This window comes from Homo sapiens, chromosome 22, assembly GCF_000001405.40.
Source record: "Homo sapiens chromosome 22, GRCh38.p14 Primary Assembly".
Lineage (NCBI taxonomy): Eukaryota > Metazoa > Chordata > Mammalia > Primates > Hominidae > Homo > Homo sapiens.
This window is the reverse complement of record NC_000022.11, coordinates 29038231-29053187: the sequence shown is the minus strand read 5'-3', so window position 1 is coordinate 29053187 and position 14957 is coordinate 29038231. Positions and strand designations below refer to the sequence as shown.

Sequence of the window (14957 nt, the reverse complement as noted above, 5' to 3'; positions counted from 1 at the left end):
CAGAGGGGGCTGGAGTGTTACCTAACCTAAGATCTGGAGGAGAAAAGTAGCGGACAGGTCTGGGGGCTGGAATGAGCTTGGCACATGGGAAGAACGGGACAGGGGCCACAGGAGGTGAAAGCAGGAAGCAAGGAGAGTGAACCAGGAGCTCATCAGATGGGTTGGCAGGAGCTGGATCACACAGAACTGAGTGAGATGCTAACATTTATTATTATTTTTGAGACAGGGTCTTGCTGTGTTGCCTAGGCTGAAGTGCAGTGGTGAGATCATGACTACAGCCTCAATCTCTTGGGCTCAGCCTCCTGGGTATCTGGGACTAATGGCATGTGTCACCGTGCCCAGCTAATTAAAAAAAAATTTTTTTTTAAATTTTTTTTTAAGAGATAGGGTCATTCTATGTTCCCCAGGCTGGTCTCCAGCTCCTGGCCTCAAGTGATCCTCCTGCCTTGGCCTTCCAAAGCACTCAGCCAGGAGTTAACTTTTTTTTTTTTTTTTTGAGACGGAGTCTCGCTCTGTCGCCAGGCTGGAGTACGATGGGGCGATCTCAGCTCACTGCAACAACGGCGTCCCGGGTTCAAGCGATTCTCCTGCCTCAGCCTCCCGAGTAGGTAGAACTACAGGCACACGCCACCACGCCCGGCTAATTTTCATATTTTTATTAGAGACGGGGTTTCGCCATGTTGGCCAGGATGGCCTCGGTCTCTTTACCTGGTGATCTGCCTGCCTTGGCCTCCCAAAGTGCTGGGATTACAGGCGTGAATCACCGCACCCGGCCAACATTTTTAAGATTTTAAAGGTAATGGCAAGTCATTGAAGGGTTTTCTAGCACAAAGACATCAACTTATGTTTCAAAAAAGGCCACTCTGGTTCCAAGTGGAATAGAAGGCAAGACCAGTGACAGCAGATCAGTCAGAGGTTATTGCCTCTGTCCCGAAGAGAGGAAAATGAGACTGGACTGAGGGGATAGCAGTGGGAGTGCAGAGAAGTAGATACATTTGGGATGTACTTTGCAGGTAGATCTTGTTGCAGTGCTACTCAGAGGTGCTAGACTCCAGTTTATTACTGAGACAGCATGTTTGGAAATCTTGTAGCAATCTGATGTCTGTTGAATCTAATAATAAAATACCTGGACTTGTATCTTACATGTCTTTTGCTAAGTTTCATTTTCTGGGAATTCATTTTCATGGACTGAGGCAAAAACAAGCAACTGGGGTCCTTCACAGGCGGGTTGAGAAGCCCAGGAGGCTGAAGTGCAAGGGGCAGGGTGGGCACAGGGATGGGGCCTAGGTTTTTTTTTTTTTTTTTTTGAGATGGAGTCGCTCAGGCTGGAGCGCGGCTCACTGCAACCTCCGCCTCCCAGGTTCAGGCGATTCTCCTGCCTCAGCCTCCGGAGTAGCTAGGATTACAGGTGCCCGCTACGCCCAGCTAATTTTTTTGTATTTTAGTAGAGATGGGGTTTCACCATATTGGCCAAGCTGGTCTCGAACTCCTGAACTCAAGTGATTCACACGCCTTGCCCTCCCAAAGTGCAGGGATTACAGGCATGAGCCACTGGGTCCTGCCTTTTTTTTTTTTTTTTTTTTTAAGACAGAGTCTCGCTCTGTCACCCAGGCTGGAGTGCAGTAGCTTGATCTTGGCTCACTGCAACCTCTGCCAACCAGGTTCAAGTGATTTTCCTGCCTCAGCATCCTGAGTAGCTGGGACTACAGGCACCCGCCACCACCCCTGGCTAACTTTTGTACTGAGTAACGAGAATGTTTATGAAGTGGCTCCTACATAATATCCCAGCCATGAGGAGTCATGAACCGACTCCATGGTTTTGCCATGTTGGCCAGGCTGTCTCCAACTCCTGGCCTCAAGTGATCCACAGCCTCGGCCTCCCAAAGTGGTTGGGTGAGCCAAGATTAGAGGCATGAGCCACTACCCCCAGCTGGTGCTAGGTTTTTGGTGTGAGCATGCGGATGGGGAGCAGGGCAGAGGGGGAAATGAGTACTGCTGTGGACATGACAGGCTGCAGGCATCTTGGGGAGAGATCCCGAGATCATGGAAGCAGAGGGCTCAATGGGTCTGAACTCCAAGGGAGGGCCAGGCTGAGGAGTAACCCTTGGAAGTCTTCAGCCTCAGATGGTGTTTAAAACCAAGGACACAAAAGAAGTCATTCAGAAAATGCCTAAGACAGAAGACAAGACGACCCTGATGGAAACTCCTGCTCTGACCTACTGCCATTTCCTGCTCTCACCTGCAGCCTCAGTGGCAGTGGTGCTGGACTCCTGAGTGTCCTGGAGGGCACTAGGGAAGTTGGCCCTGACAGCACCCGCCTCCTCCGGAGGGCAGCCAGGCCGCAGTAGGGCCCTAGCCTGGCAGCACAGAGCCCGCTCCTCTTCCCGGGTTGCTCCCAGGCCCCTGTGGGGCCGTGGGGTATCCGGGCCTCGCGTCCCACCCCAGGAGCCGAGGCTGTGGGTCCCTTGGCAGTCCGAGGGCAGGCCCAGATCACAGTCCACATCCTCTGGAATGATGGGGATGCGCTGGCTCAGGTCCCGGGCCCCGGGGTAGCAGCCGGGCGGTGGTTCCTCGGTGAGCGTGTACTGCACACTCACCGAGTAGTCCTCAGTGTAGCAGCCGCTGCCCCCTCCGCCCCCGCGGGCCACCTGCTTCTCTTCATAGAAGCAGCAGGGCAGACCCTCGTATTTCACCCCATCTGTCCTGGGCAAATGGTCGGGGTGAAGGCCGTACAAGCCCTGGGAGCTTCCTGACTGGGGCTCCCCACCCGCCGGGCCAGAGCCCTCGTAGAGGTGGGGCCCCAGGAACAAGGTGCTGCTGCCAGCTGCTCCGGCGCTAGGCCCGGCTGGGGAGGGCTGGGGCTCGCAGCAGCAGGCACACGACGGCAACTCGTGGCCCCCCTTCCAGGTCCTCCTGAGGTCAGGGGCGGCCCCAGGAGAAGCCTCGAGCCCCACTTCTGAGGTAGAGCTATTGGGCCCCCTGTGCTCCAGGGAGGAGTTGCTGCTGTAGTTCATCTCCAGGCTGCAGGTGGACACCTGATCCCCCGAGGGAGAGGCAGGGCCCGGCCAAGGCTCGCCCCGCCCAGCACCATGACTGTGCACCGCCGGGAGCTCCTCGGGAGGCGGGGAGCCCTCGAAGCACAGGGCAGGTCCCCGGCCCGAGCTGCCCGAGCCCCCCGCCTCACTGGCACGACAGGGGCTCCGGCTGCGGTAGATGAAGGGGTCATAGTCGCTGCTGAGGGAGCTGCGGAAGGTGGAGCAGCTCCCGTACACGCCCTGGTTGCTGACCTCAGTGCAGTCTACCACAGAGTCACTGGAGGAACAGTGGCACTGGCCGGAGCTGCTGCTGCTGCTGCTGTCGCTGCCTGGGCAGTCGGCCAGGTAGCCACTGCACACCGAGCGGTGGCCGTGATAGCAGCTGAAGCTGGACGTGCTGCCGCTCTCCAGGTGGGAGGGCGGGGCCACGTGCACCACGGTGGGGAAGAGCAGGCTGCCACTGCCGCTCGGAGGAAAGGCACGGGCCGGGCCCCGGGGTGCGAGGCTAGGTGGGGACTGCCCCTCCTGCTCCGGGTAGCTGAGGCCCTGGAAGTAGTAGTGCTGGTACATGGTCTCATACTGGGAGAAGCAAGCTGCCTTGGAGAAGCTGCGGCCACTCAACTTGGGCCTGCGGAAGGGGTGGGCTGGGGAGTAGGCCCGGTGCTCCAGGCCGCAGCGGTGAGCGGCCAGGCTGTGGTCCAGGTGGAGGGGTGGGTAGCTGCGGATGTAGGCGGGGGTCTGCGGGGAATAGAGGCTCTGCTCCCCGTGCCGGTCCATGGTCAGCAAGGTGACGGGGTTGCCGTGGGAGTCCATGCTTGTCCTCGTAGGGTAGGCTGGGATGGCGTTGGTCCTGTGCACGCGGCCGGGGTAATGCACCGGCAGGGTCACCCTCTGCTGCCGACCACGTGAGAGGTTGCTGGTCTCCACACACACCGCGCTTGGGTTTCCCTTTTGTTCTGGAGACAAGTGGAGGAAACAGAGTAGGCAGGGCTGAGCATACTGGTGTCAGAGGCTAAAGGGATTTTTAAAACGGGCAAAGGCTGAAGCAGCAGGCTTGGTCACCTGCCAAGGTACCCATTCTCACAACCCTGCCCCCAAACTGAGCTGCAGCGGCAGAGGCTGACCTGCCTGTCTGTGTGAAATGGCCCATCTCCTGTAAGGGCCCCGCTCCCAACTCCCCACTGCTCTGCCTGACAGGGCACCACAGAAGTCTGCAGAAAAGAATCGGATTCAAAGATGCCAGTGTCCCTCCATCCCTGTTTAATGACACAGTGATGCAGGAGCAACAGCCCAAGCTGGCCTCTGCACACTCATCGTCTCTCGTGGTCCTAGGAACACCCCCATGGTACTGGGTGTGGGCAAACACCATTACTGTCATTGCCACTAAAGAGATTAGGGGCCTCAGGCCTAGGAGAGGCCAGATGTCTTGCCCGAGGTCAAGAAGCTGCTTAATGTGAAGCCCAAACTTGAACTCAGGGTGATTCTTAATGCCAAGCTCTCCTAAGGGTCGTGCAGACAACCTCCAAAACCCAGGGCTGCCAGGCCTCCAAGTCCAGAGGGCAGTGCCACGGTGGTTCTGAGTGTTCCCAAGCCTGCGGTGTGTGTCACACTCTAGCTAGGCACTTGACTCTTCAGCAATGGCTAAGGCGGGTGACAGTTACCTATGATGTTGTGCCGACAGTGGGGGCAGGTGTGGTGCTGCAGCAGCCAGGGGTCCACGCACTTCCTGTGAAACCGGTGAGTACAGGGGATGACCCGCAGCTCCTGGGCAGGGAGAGAGGGGACACAAGTCTGCCTTCAGCCTCGCAGGTGTGTCCTCCTGCAGAGTCCAGCATAGACCAAGGAGTTCTGCACAGCATGCCCGTGCCCTTCCCTACTCTCCTCCCCACCTCCAATTAGGGCTCAATTCCCTAGAAGCAGGGCCCACCCATGTGTTCTAGGAAGAAGGAAACTGCCAGCAGTCAGCCCCATCCACAGTCCTCAGTGTTAAGGGAGTGGGCACGCACAGAGGCAGGCGTCTTTCCCGTAGCTGGAGGAGGGCAAACACACTCATGCCTCCACCCAGGGAGGGCCGAGTCCTCCTGCTAGTGAGGATGGGAGGCTTAGGGGTATGGAGAGAGGGCCAGGTATACCCCAAGATATTCTGCATCTCTGAGGTGCTGGCTGTCCCTGGGTATCCCAAATAGGCATGAGTAGAAAGGAAGATACCTGGGACTCATGATTGACAGGTGTGGCAGCAAAGGGGTAAAGCTCTGCTATCCCCTCCTTTACTGGATCCTGAACCTCACCATGGGGTGTGTGGTTTATAAGAAAAGCAGCCTATCTAGACAGATAGAGTTATTGGGACAGAACCACCTCCAGAGTTCCTAAGCCTAAGCATCTTCCAGATTTGCTCATTTTACTTTGTCTTTCAATTTTCTGACCTGTCTAGTACAGTAATATTCCAGCTCACACCTAACACTGTGCCTGACAGAATGACAAAGGGTCTACCCTGGATCTTCTCATGGAACCTTCATGATCACCTGGAATGCTGGTCAGTGTCAGGCCCATGTCACAAGAAAACGAAGTCACTTGCCCAAGATCACAAAGCTAGAATCCACCCAGGTCAGGATTAGAACCCAGAGTCTGTGTAAGAATCTACTATTCTATTCTGCAAAAATTCCATTTCCATCCAACAGTCTCTGCAGCAGTGGAACATTTTCAACAAAGGCGCATCAAATGTCTGTAATTCTCAAGTGGTTTGCTCCCTGCCCCGCAAATATGTGTATGTATGCATCTGTCTAGAGAGAGGGAGAGTGAGCAAATGTGGCAAAATGTTCATCATGGATGATTCTAGGCCCCTGACATATATCGTCTATGGTACTAGTCTTTTCTGAAGGTCTGAAATTTTCTAAGACAGACAAAGTCTCACTCTGTTGTCCAGGCTGATATGCAGCGGTGTAATAATAGCTCACTGCAGCCTCAAGTTCCTAGCCTCAAGTGATCCTTCCACCTCAGCCTCCCAAGTAGCTAGGACTACAGGCATGGTACTAGGCCTAAAATTTTCAAAGAGCTACAAGAAAAAAAAGTGAGGGATATAAAATCCCTTGTCTCTTTGTAAGTAAAAACACCCAGCTAAGTATCAAGTCAAGTCTCAGAATTTTCAGAAGAGTGACTCTAAAAGTTGATGTGTGTGATGGAACACAGGGCCCTGTCCTTCTAGGTCTTGGGCACCTCTGCTGACCTGCCTATGTTTTCCCCACCCAGGACGGGCCTGCTTCTGCCATTACCTCTCCATCAATGTACTTCTCCAGACAGATGGCACAGTCGGACGTGGAGCTGCTGCTGAGTGTGTCCAGGGCCCCACAGCTCCCCTCCCGGCGCCCCTTGCTCTTGGAGTTGAACTTTCTGGTTTCCATCTTCTCTAGAGCCTGCACAGCCAGCCTGTTCATGGAATTCTGCAGGGCAGAATGTAGTCTGTGTGAGGGTCCAGTACGTATGAAAGTGGCAGTCACCCCAGGGACATGACACACGATTCACTGGGACAGGCAGACAATTCTCTATCATGCCGGAACAGACTTCTGAGAAGTCGCTCAGAACTCAGACTGCCATAGCACATATTCTCCAGACGCGTGGGGTGTCCACGACATCAACCTAGGCTTTTCCTAAGTGGCAAGACTAGCAGGGGTCTCTCTGATTTGAAGGCAGGGGTCTCCTCCAATTACTTGGACCTGCTGCCTCCTAACTCTGCCAGACCCCGAGTTATCAACCTGTTCTACGCCAAGCGTTCCTCCTCTTTCTGTTGAAGGAGGTGGTGACAGTAAATAGACAATGTGTAAGTGCTTAGCACCTGGCAAATAGGCTGTGCTCAAAAAACACAAGCCATCATCTTGTTGGGGGTGGTCGCTCAACCCTCAAGAGAACTTTGGTGATTCTCTTCTCTACAGATTGCCTTCCAAGATCCACCATCTCTCCCCTGAGACATGACCCTGCCATACATTTGGGGGTCCAGATCTCTGCTTATCCTCTCACCACCCCCTACCCGAGTTTCTCCTTCCTGCAAGCACAAAGTGATGTGGCTGCAGTGCTACAGCAGCTACTGTTAATCAAGCATCACCCAGAGAGCCTGGTATACTGTGTAGGTGGCCTGGAGCGGAGCCTGAGACCCTGCATTTCTATCAGGCTTCCAGGTGCTGCCGTTGCTGCTGGACCACAGATTCTATCTGAGGACCAAGGCTCTAGGGCGCCACTTGATGTACTGGGACAGGCAAACACTTCTCAATCATGCCAGAATAGACTTCAGAGAAAGCACTCAAAACTCAGACTGCTACAGCACATATTCTAGACCTGTGGAGTGTTTATAATACTTATTAACGTTGACTTAAACACTTCCTTTGGGACGGGCGTGGTGGCTCACGCCTGTAATCCCAGCATTTTGGGAGGCCGAGGCGGGCGGATCACATGAGGTTAGGAGTTTGAGACCAGGCTGGCCAACATGGTAAAACCCCGTCTCTATTAAAAATACAAAAATTAGCCGGGTGCCTGTAATTCCAGCTACTTGGGAGGCTAAGGCATGAGACTCAGTTGACCCCGGGAGGTGGAGGTTGCAGTGAGCCGAGATCATGCCATTGCACTCCAGCCTGGGTGACAGAATGAGATCTTGTCTCAAAGAAATAAAAAAATAAAATAAACACTTCCTTCGAAACACCTGCTGGAGATATTCCCAATGCTTAACCTTTGTAGGACTAGCCCTTTTAGAACAGAGAAGGCACTGGGCTGTAAGTTTTGATCTTTTTTTTTTTTTTTTTTTTGTGAGACAGGGTCTTACTCTGTTACCCAGGCTGGAATGCAGTGGTGTGATCATAGCTCATTGCAACCTCTGCCCTCTAGGCTCAAGTGATCCTCCCACCTCAGCCTCCCGAGTAGCTGGGACTACACGTACATGCCACCATGCCCAGCTAATTTTTGTATTTTTGGTAGAGACGGGGTTTTGCCATGTTGACTAGGCTGGTCTTGAACTCGTGAGCTCAAGTGATCTGCCTGCCTCGGCCTCCCAAAGTGCTGGGATTACAAGCGTGAGTCATGGTGCCTGGCCTAGTTTGCTCTTATTTTTTTTCCATCTTTGCAGTTTCTAGGCCACTGGGAACAGGCTGCAGAGCTCAGAGTCCACAGCTGTGAGGCTCCATGTTGCACCATCAAAAAATAAGGTGACGAGAGTCCTGGTTTTCCCCAGTGTCACGGCAAGAGGGGTTACTGCTCACGGGCTACACACAGAGGCACTACCTGACTGCGTCGCTGCTTCAGCTTGATTTTGACAAGGAGGATGAGGCAGACCAAGGAGACCACGACGAAGAAAGCCAGGAAAATCCCCATGTCAAAGTATTCAGTGGGTTGCTGGAACGGAACACAGACACAGTGAGTCACAGCCTCTCTCCAGCCTGGTAAGCGGCACATGGGCTATCTTGGCTTTGTCAGGATAAAGATGGGGTGACCGGGATGAGTTTCCCCTCAATTTGCAGGAAACTCCTGGGGTTCTGCTCACATGCACATGGTGTGCTCCCTAGGCCCATGTAGTGCCTTTGGTGTGGCCCAGGGGGACGCCTGTGGCGATCTCAGCCAGGCCCCCCAAGAGCCAAGGGAACTCTGTTGGTAAAGCCTGTGGAATACTGCAAAGTTGGCTGTAACTGGTAAGAAAGGCCCTTCCAAATCAACACAAATAATCACATTTATAGGACAAAAGAGTGAGTGTCATGTTTTGAGGGAACAGTGATTACTAACCGTATAATTAATGGTTTACAACAACTCAGAAAATTGTATGCTGCTTCCACAAATATCAGCTTCCACTACAATGAGTCATATTTACCAAAGCGCTTTTTTTTTTCCCTTTAAAAAGAAGCCAACAAGTCAGTTCAGCAAACTCCCTCTAGTTTTAGTTCTTACCTTTTCCTCACTGCCTCCTAAAACCTCACAGCCACCTTATCTGGGACCTCCATTTGGCCAATGGGAATAGAGCTTTGCAAAGTGGAAGCTGCATGTAACCGGCTATGTTGTGTATGGGAAAGAATCATCCTACACTGTGAATGTCCCAATATTTGTGAGGAGGAAATAACACCAATATAGGGCACCAGCCCAAGGTTCCTGGAATTCTTCAGCTTGAGGTTTGAGCAGAAGAGGCTGGTTAAGAGTTAGTGGCCAGTAGTGTCTCTTCTACATACTTAAGAGATGCAGATGCTATTCATTTAGCCGTCGAACTCAATCCCAGTTGAAAGCTAACTTTTCCAGACTCAAATTAACTTGGGGAGTTTCAATAAGGTAATCTACTCTACAGGAAGAAGGAAATACAAGCCTTTTTTTCTAGTGTCTAAGCCAGATAGAAGAAGGAAGCCACGGGAAGCCAGGTGCTGGATGCCCCATCCCTTCAATCCTCCTCAGTTTGCCTTTCAGAGGGAGATGGGATGGAAAAGAAAGGATGAGAGATGGCCAAGAGGGAATGCCAGGTGGAAGAGGCCAGAGACATCTTAGCACAAAAGTATCTATTTCTGGTAGGATTTCTCAAATTCACTATAAAGGAACATGAGTAAAATTTCACCCTGGCCTTGAGTCCAATAGCTGATCTAAGCCTGCAGGAACCTGGGGTATGCCAGCATTTCAGACAGAGATAGGAATGAAAGCCCAAGGGAAATAAAGGGACAGGTAGTAGCAGAGAAGGCCCCGAGCCTGTGCCAAATGGTGCGGAGGCTCACTCGAGGAGGGCGGTGCTGGATCCTTGCTCGAGCCACTTTCTGCTTGTTGACGATGTTCATCAGCTTAATGGCATCTGCACCCTTCACATACACCACCGGCCTCTTGAGCGGGTCTTCAGAGCCCTGGTTCAGCTAAGGAAGAAGAGAGGGCTCTGGTTAAAAGGTGCGCTTACTTTAAGAAGCAGTAGAGAGAAAGAAAGGCTGGAGGGAAGGAACACTGAATACCTGTCTGGAATCCTCCAGCTCTTCCAACATTACAGCCTTGGAGCTCCCAGAAGAGCAAGGCTGAGAATGACGCTTGTTTTGGGATGGACTGGGCAAGCAGAAGGCCCAGAAAGGTCTTAGAAAATGCCCCCTGAACCCGGTGCAGTGGCTCACGCCTATAATCCCAGCACTTTGGGAGGCCGAGGCAGATGGATCACAAGGTCAAGAGTTCAAGACCAGCCTGGCCAACATGGTGAAACCCCATCTCTACTAAAAACACAAAAATTAGCCAGGCGTGGTGGCTCGTGCCTATAATTCCAGATACTTGGGAGGCTGAGGCAGGAGAATCGCTTGAACCCGGGAGGTGGAGATTGCAGTGAGCTGAAATTGCGCCACTGCACTCCAGCCTGGGTGACAGAGCAAGACTCCATCTCGGGGGAAAAAAAGAGAAAATGCCCCCTGTGCCCCAATTCCCTGGCTCTTAACCTCGCCCAGTATACCTCCTTTGGGAATTATGTCCAAACATGGACACCTAACTTCAGAAGACAAGAGCAAATGCTCTGAGATGAGGGTGACATGACCGGGACAAGCCAAGCTCACTAAAGGAAGTGCCTTTCTCAGGGAGGCTGCAGTGTTGGCATGGCCTGAGGAGCTTACCTGATCAATAGCTTCTGGGTTTTCAGACACATCAAAGATGACTGCAGTAGCTCCCCGCTGTACTGCTCGCTTGGCCTGCCAGAGTTAAAAAAACAGCAGGTTGGCCCTCTGGTCCTCTTACCTTTTCAAAGTTGGCCTTGGCAATCAGGCCTGTAATCAAATGCAGAATCTGACAGTTACCAACTTAGGTGACTTCAGGGATGTTACTTCACTTTCCTAATCCTCAATTTTCCCATCTATAAAGAAGGGGACTGATGACTAGAGTTAACAATAACATATAGTTTCAAATAGCTAGGAGAAGGACATTCCCAACACAAAGAAGTGATAAATGTTTGAGATAATGGATATGCGAATTACCCTGATCTGATCACTATACCTTGTATGTATTGAAATATTGCTATGTACCCCACGAATATGTACAATTATTATCTGTCAATTAGAAAACTTTTTTTTAAAGAGGACAATTTCACCTACCTTGTATGGTAATCATGAGGTCAGATGACTTATAATAGGGGAAAATACATAATTGATAACTTAACAAACTTTTGTCTTCCTATCCAGCCCAAATACTGAAAACAACCTACACATCAACAACCTGCCCAGTCAGTACAGAGGTATTGGTTTCAGTATTTCCTGTTTCAGAGCCATTGGCAACCAAAGCAAGTGCCTTTGGTCCATCTCATGCGGTTCCTTTTTCCTTCCCATGTCACCCAGTTAGAAGAATATATTGAGTATTTCTGAATGAGTCTCAAAATGGTTAATTTTAATAAGTGACACAAGCTGAAGACCTCTGGAGACACTGTCGGTGGTGGGAGCTGTGAAAAATAATTGTAAATGGGGTTTTGAAGCAGTTGGCTGCCAGACCTGGCTACACATCAAAAGCCACTTGGGAAGTTTGTAAAGCAGGTTTCCTGGCTCAAACCACAGAGACTGATTGAGCAGGGCTGGAGTCAGGCCCAGGAAACTGAGTTGTGTATGCTTTCTGGGGGATTCAGATGATTCAACTACTTGGGGAACTACTGATCAGAGGGATGAGATTAGAATGTTTTAGGAACAAATGAGAAGTGACGGGATTCTTTTTGGGGGAGGTGGGGGAAGGATTCCTTTCCATCCCAAAGAACCTTCTAATTCCATGTCCAGCTAAGGGGACAGCAAGGCAGAAGCTGTGGAAAAACAAGACTTAAGATATAGCATGGCTGGAGTTCGAGACCAGTCTAGGTAACATAGCAAGACCCCATTATCTAAAAAATAACAGAAAAATTAGCTGGGTGTGGCAGGACGTAACTGTAGTCTCAGCTACTCGGGAGGCTGAGGTAGGAGGTTTGATTGAGCCCAAGAGGTAGAGGTTGGGTTGTGATTGCACCACTTCATTCTAGCCTGAGTGACAGAGCAAGACCCTGTCTCCACAAAATATATACATACATACATACATGCATGTCCTGGCTTTTAGGAGCCTGAATCTTGTTAGGGAAGTAAGACACTTCTAATGTGTGTATGTATAGAAGGCAAACCCAGCCTTCTATAAGACGCGCAAATGATGGCTAGTGCTTAGAGATCAACAGAGTTACTATGGGCCACAGTGCTTGAGAAAGAATAAAATTGAAATTCCTTTCCGTAGGAATAATCGCTCTACATTGATGTGGCGTGAGAAAGCAAAGTTGCCCAGAACACAGCTAGACCAATAGCTCCACTGGCCCACTAGAGGGCAGTCTCACCCTATAGCTTTTACAACAAACCAATTCCTTGTATTTAGCACCAAACAGTACCAAAAACAACTTCAGTAAAATCTTCAGTATACTGCAAGTTCCTTGGCAGTTTAAGAAGTTCTGGCACTCTGGACAATCTGTCTTTGTCTTGCAGGGGACCCTTTCTTTTTGAATGGAGATTCAATGCATTGAAAGTCTCTGCCGATTGTCCACCACACCCTGTTTCATCACCAGATTGCTAGGCTAGGAGTCAGGAATGAATCCTGGGAGCTATTCCTGCCTCTGCCACTGGCATGCTGCCAACAGTGGACAAGTCACTCAATTGCTTTCAGCCTCAGCCTCAGTTTCCCCATCTGTTAAAAAAAAAAAAGGCGGTGGGGGATGGCTGGGCATGGTGGCTTATGCCTGTAATCCCAGCATTCTGAGAGGCTTAGGCGGGTAGATCACCTGAGGTCAGGAGTTCCAGACCAGTCTGGCCAACATGGTGAAAGCCTATCTCTACTAAAAATGCAAAAAATCAGCTGGATGTGGTGGCATGTGCTTGTACTCCCAGTTACTCGGGAGGCTGAGGCAGGAGAATCACTTGAGCCTGGGAGGCGGAGGTTGTAATGAGCCGAGATCGCACCACGGCACTCCAGCCTGGGCGACAGAGTGAGACTCTGCCTCAAAAAAAAAAAGGGGGAGGGGGTGCAGGGAGGCCGCCTATGTTATTATGACTAGAGTCCCTTCTAAATTCCCAGCCTTGGTCACTCAAATGAGAAGCAGCAGGCTATCAGAGCAACTCAGAACTACACTGGCCCTGTCACCCTCCTCCAGGAAGAGAGGATGCTGATGACACAGCTGAAAAAGTGTGAGGCGAGAGTGGCATCACTTTCCTCCACCATAGAGCTATCTATCTTTCTATCTATCAGAGATGGGCTTTCACTCTGTCACCTGGGCTGGAGTGGTGCAATCATAGCTCACTGCAGCCTCAAACTCCTGGCCTCGAATGATCCTCCTGCCTCAGCCTCCTGAGTAGCTGGGACTGCAGGTGCCTGCTACCATGCCAGGCTAATTTTTTTTTTTTTTTTTTTTTTTTTGGTAGAGACGAGGTCTCACTATGTTGCCCAGGTTGGTCTTGAGCTCCTGGGCTCAAGTGATCCTCCCATTCCGGCCTCCCAAAGTGCTGAGATCACAGGCATGAGCCACCATACTGGCTATCCATAGAGCTCTTTAGGGACACAGACTCCTCTGCCAGAGGCCAACAGCTCATGGATGCCAGAGTTAATATAATTGTAAGTAGATGCTGGTGTTTTCCGCTTAGGTGGTATCCTAGGCTTTTTCATAAATTCCTTCTCCAGACATAGAAGGGCCCTGAGGAAAAGCACTAAAAATGAGGAAATAAACAGCCCCTCTCATTCCTTTATTTGGCTTTCATTCCACAATCAAGCACATCAAACAGCACCCTCGGGGAAGGTACAATTCAGATAAGTCCAGATCAGGAGCGCGGTACCTGTGCGCTTTGATGCAGGTGCACCTGGAGAGTCTAATGGCCTCAGGATGAAAGGCTGCAGGATCTGGGGTAGGGAATGCCTTCCCAGGAGAGACATGCCTCAGGGAAGCCATTTAGCCACGTGGCCTTCTTAAAGTTCAGGCTTCCCTGCTCCGCCCGGAACGTGGAGGTCTCAAGGACTCAGAGGTTCCGGATGAAGCATGATCCATTTGAGAGACACAAAAGACGTTTTTCACAAAATCTAGGACATGGTGATATGTTTCCTGGTTTTTACAGTGAAGAGGGCAGGTCAGTAATAAGGCAGCTGGTTGTAGTTGCACGGGCCTGTAATCCCAGCTACTTGGGAGGCTGAGGCGGGAGTATCACTTGAGCCCAGGGGTTTGAATCTGTCTCTCTCTCTCTCTCTATATATATATATATGGTGCTTAAATTCCATTTACAGCTTGACTTCCAATACAACCAGGCAAAGGCACAGGATCTAAGGACATACCTTGTTTGAGAAAAATACTTCATTCGCACAGGTGATCTACTTTTAAAATAATATTTAATGTAAACTACTATTAAAATCAGTTTGTATTTCCTGCACACACCAGGACTGGACAGGAGGGGAGCCAAGCTAAGATCCTAAAGGGAACTTGCCTGTCAGAAGCCAGCTTAGGATTTAAAATAGGCCATGAATAACCCATATTTAGAAAAAGACACTTTTATTATACTGTTCTGAAAGGAAATTAAAAAAATACAGGCCAGGTGCAGTGGCTCATGCCTGTAATCTCAGCACTTTCGGAGGTTGAGGCAGGAGGACTGCTTGAAGCCAGGAGTTCAAGACTAGCCTGGGCAATATAGCAAGACTGTCTCCACAAAAAAGTTAAAAACTAGGCAGGCATGGTGGCATTCACCTGTAGTCCCAGCTCCTCGGGAGGCTGAGGTAGACTGCTTGAGCCCAGGAGGTTGAAGCTGTAGTGAGCCATGATTGTGCCACTGCACTCCAGCCTGGGCGACAGGGCGAGACCCTGTCTTAAAAAAAAAAAAAAAAGCAACAGAACATTACTTGGTCATTCTTTGCCCCCTGCCCTTATTTTCAGTTTAAAAATTGATGAGGCATATTCCTTGAACCAATCACTCTCACAGATCATTCACCATT

At 50.8% G+C, this 14957-nt stretch overlaps 1 protein-coding gene across 2 annotated transcripts in view, besides 2 other annotated features; it reads right to left on the bottom strand.

Moving 5' to 3' along the window:
* ZNRF3 (zinc and ring finger 3) overlaps positions 1-14957 on the bottom strand; it is a 173917-nt gene that overhangs the window by 4301 nt on the left and 154659 nt on the right. For both annotated transcript variants that reach the window (NM_001206998.2, NM_032173.4), the window contains exons 3-8: positions 10619-10693; positions 9758-9889; positions 8298-8408; positions 6305-6472; positions 4697-4799; positions 2240-3991 (exon numbers count right to left, since the gene is read on the bottom strand). In NM_001206998.2, coding sequence (NP_001193927.1) covers positions 2240-3991; positions 4697-4799; positions 6305-6472; positions 8298-8408; positions 9758-9889; positions 10619-10693 — 2341 coding nt within the window. The remainder of the gene's footprint in view (positions 1-2239; positions 3992-4696; positions 4800-6304; positions 6473-8297; positions 8409-9757; positions 9890-10618; positions 10694-14957) is intronic.
* Positions 8053-8347: a silencer, noted in NCBI's record as "tiled region #3696; K562 Repressive non-DNase unmatched - State 15:Elon". NCBI's record gives its function as "represses a minimal TATA promoter and a strong SV40 promoter by Sharpr-MPRA in K562 cells {active_cell/tissue: K562}" and the evidence as "EXISTENCE:reporter gene assay evidence [ECO:0000049][PMID:27701403]".
* Positions 8053-8347: an enhancer, noted in NCBI's record as "tiled region #3696; HepG2 Activating DNase matched - State 14:Gen5'". NCBI's record gives its function as "activates a minimal TATA promoter and a strong SV40 promoter by Sharpr-MPRA in HepG2 cells {active_cell/tissue: HepG2}" and the evidence as "EXISTENCE:reporter gene assay evidence [ECO:0000049][PMID:27701403]".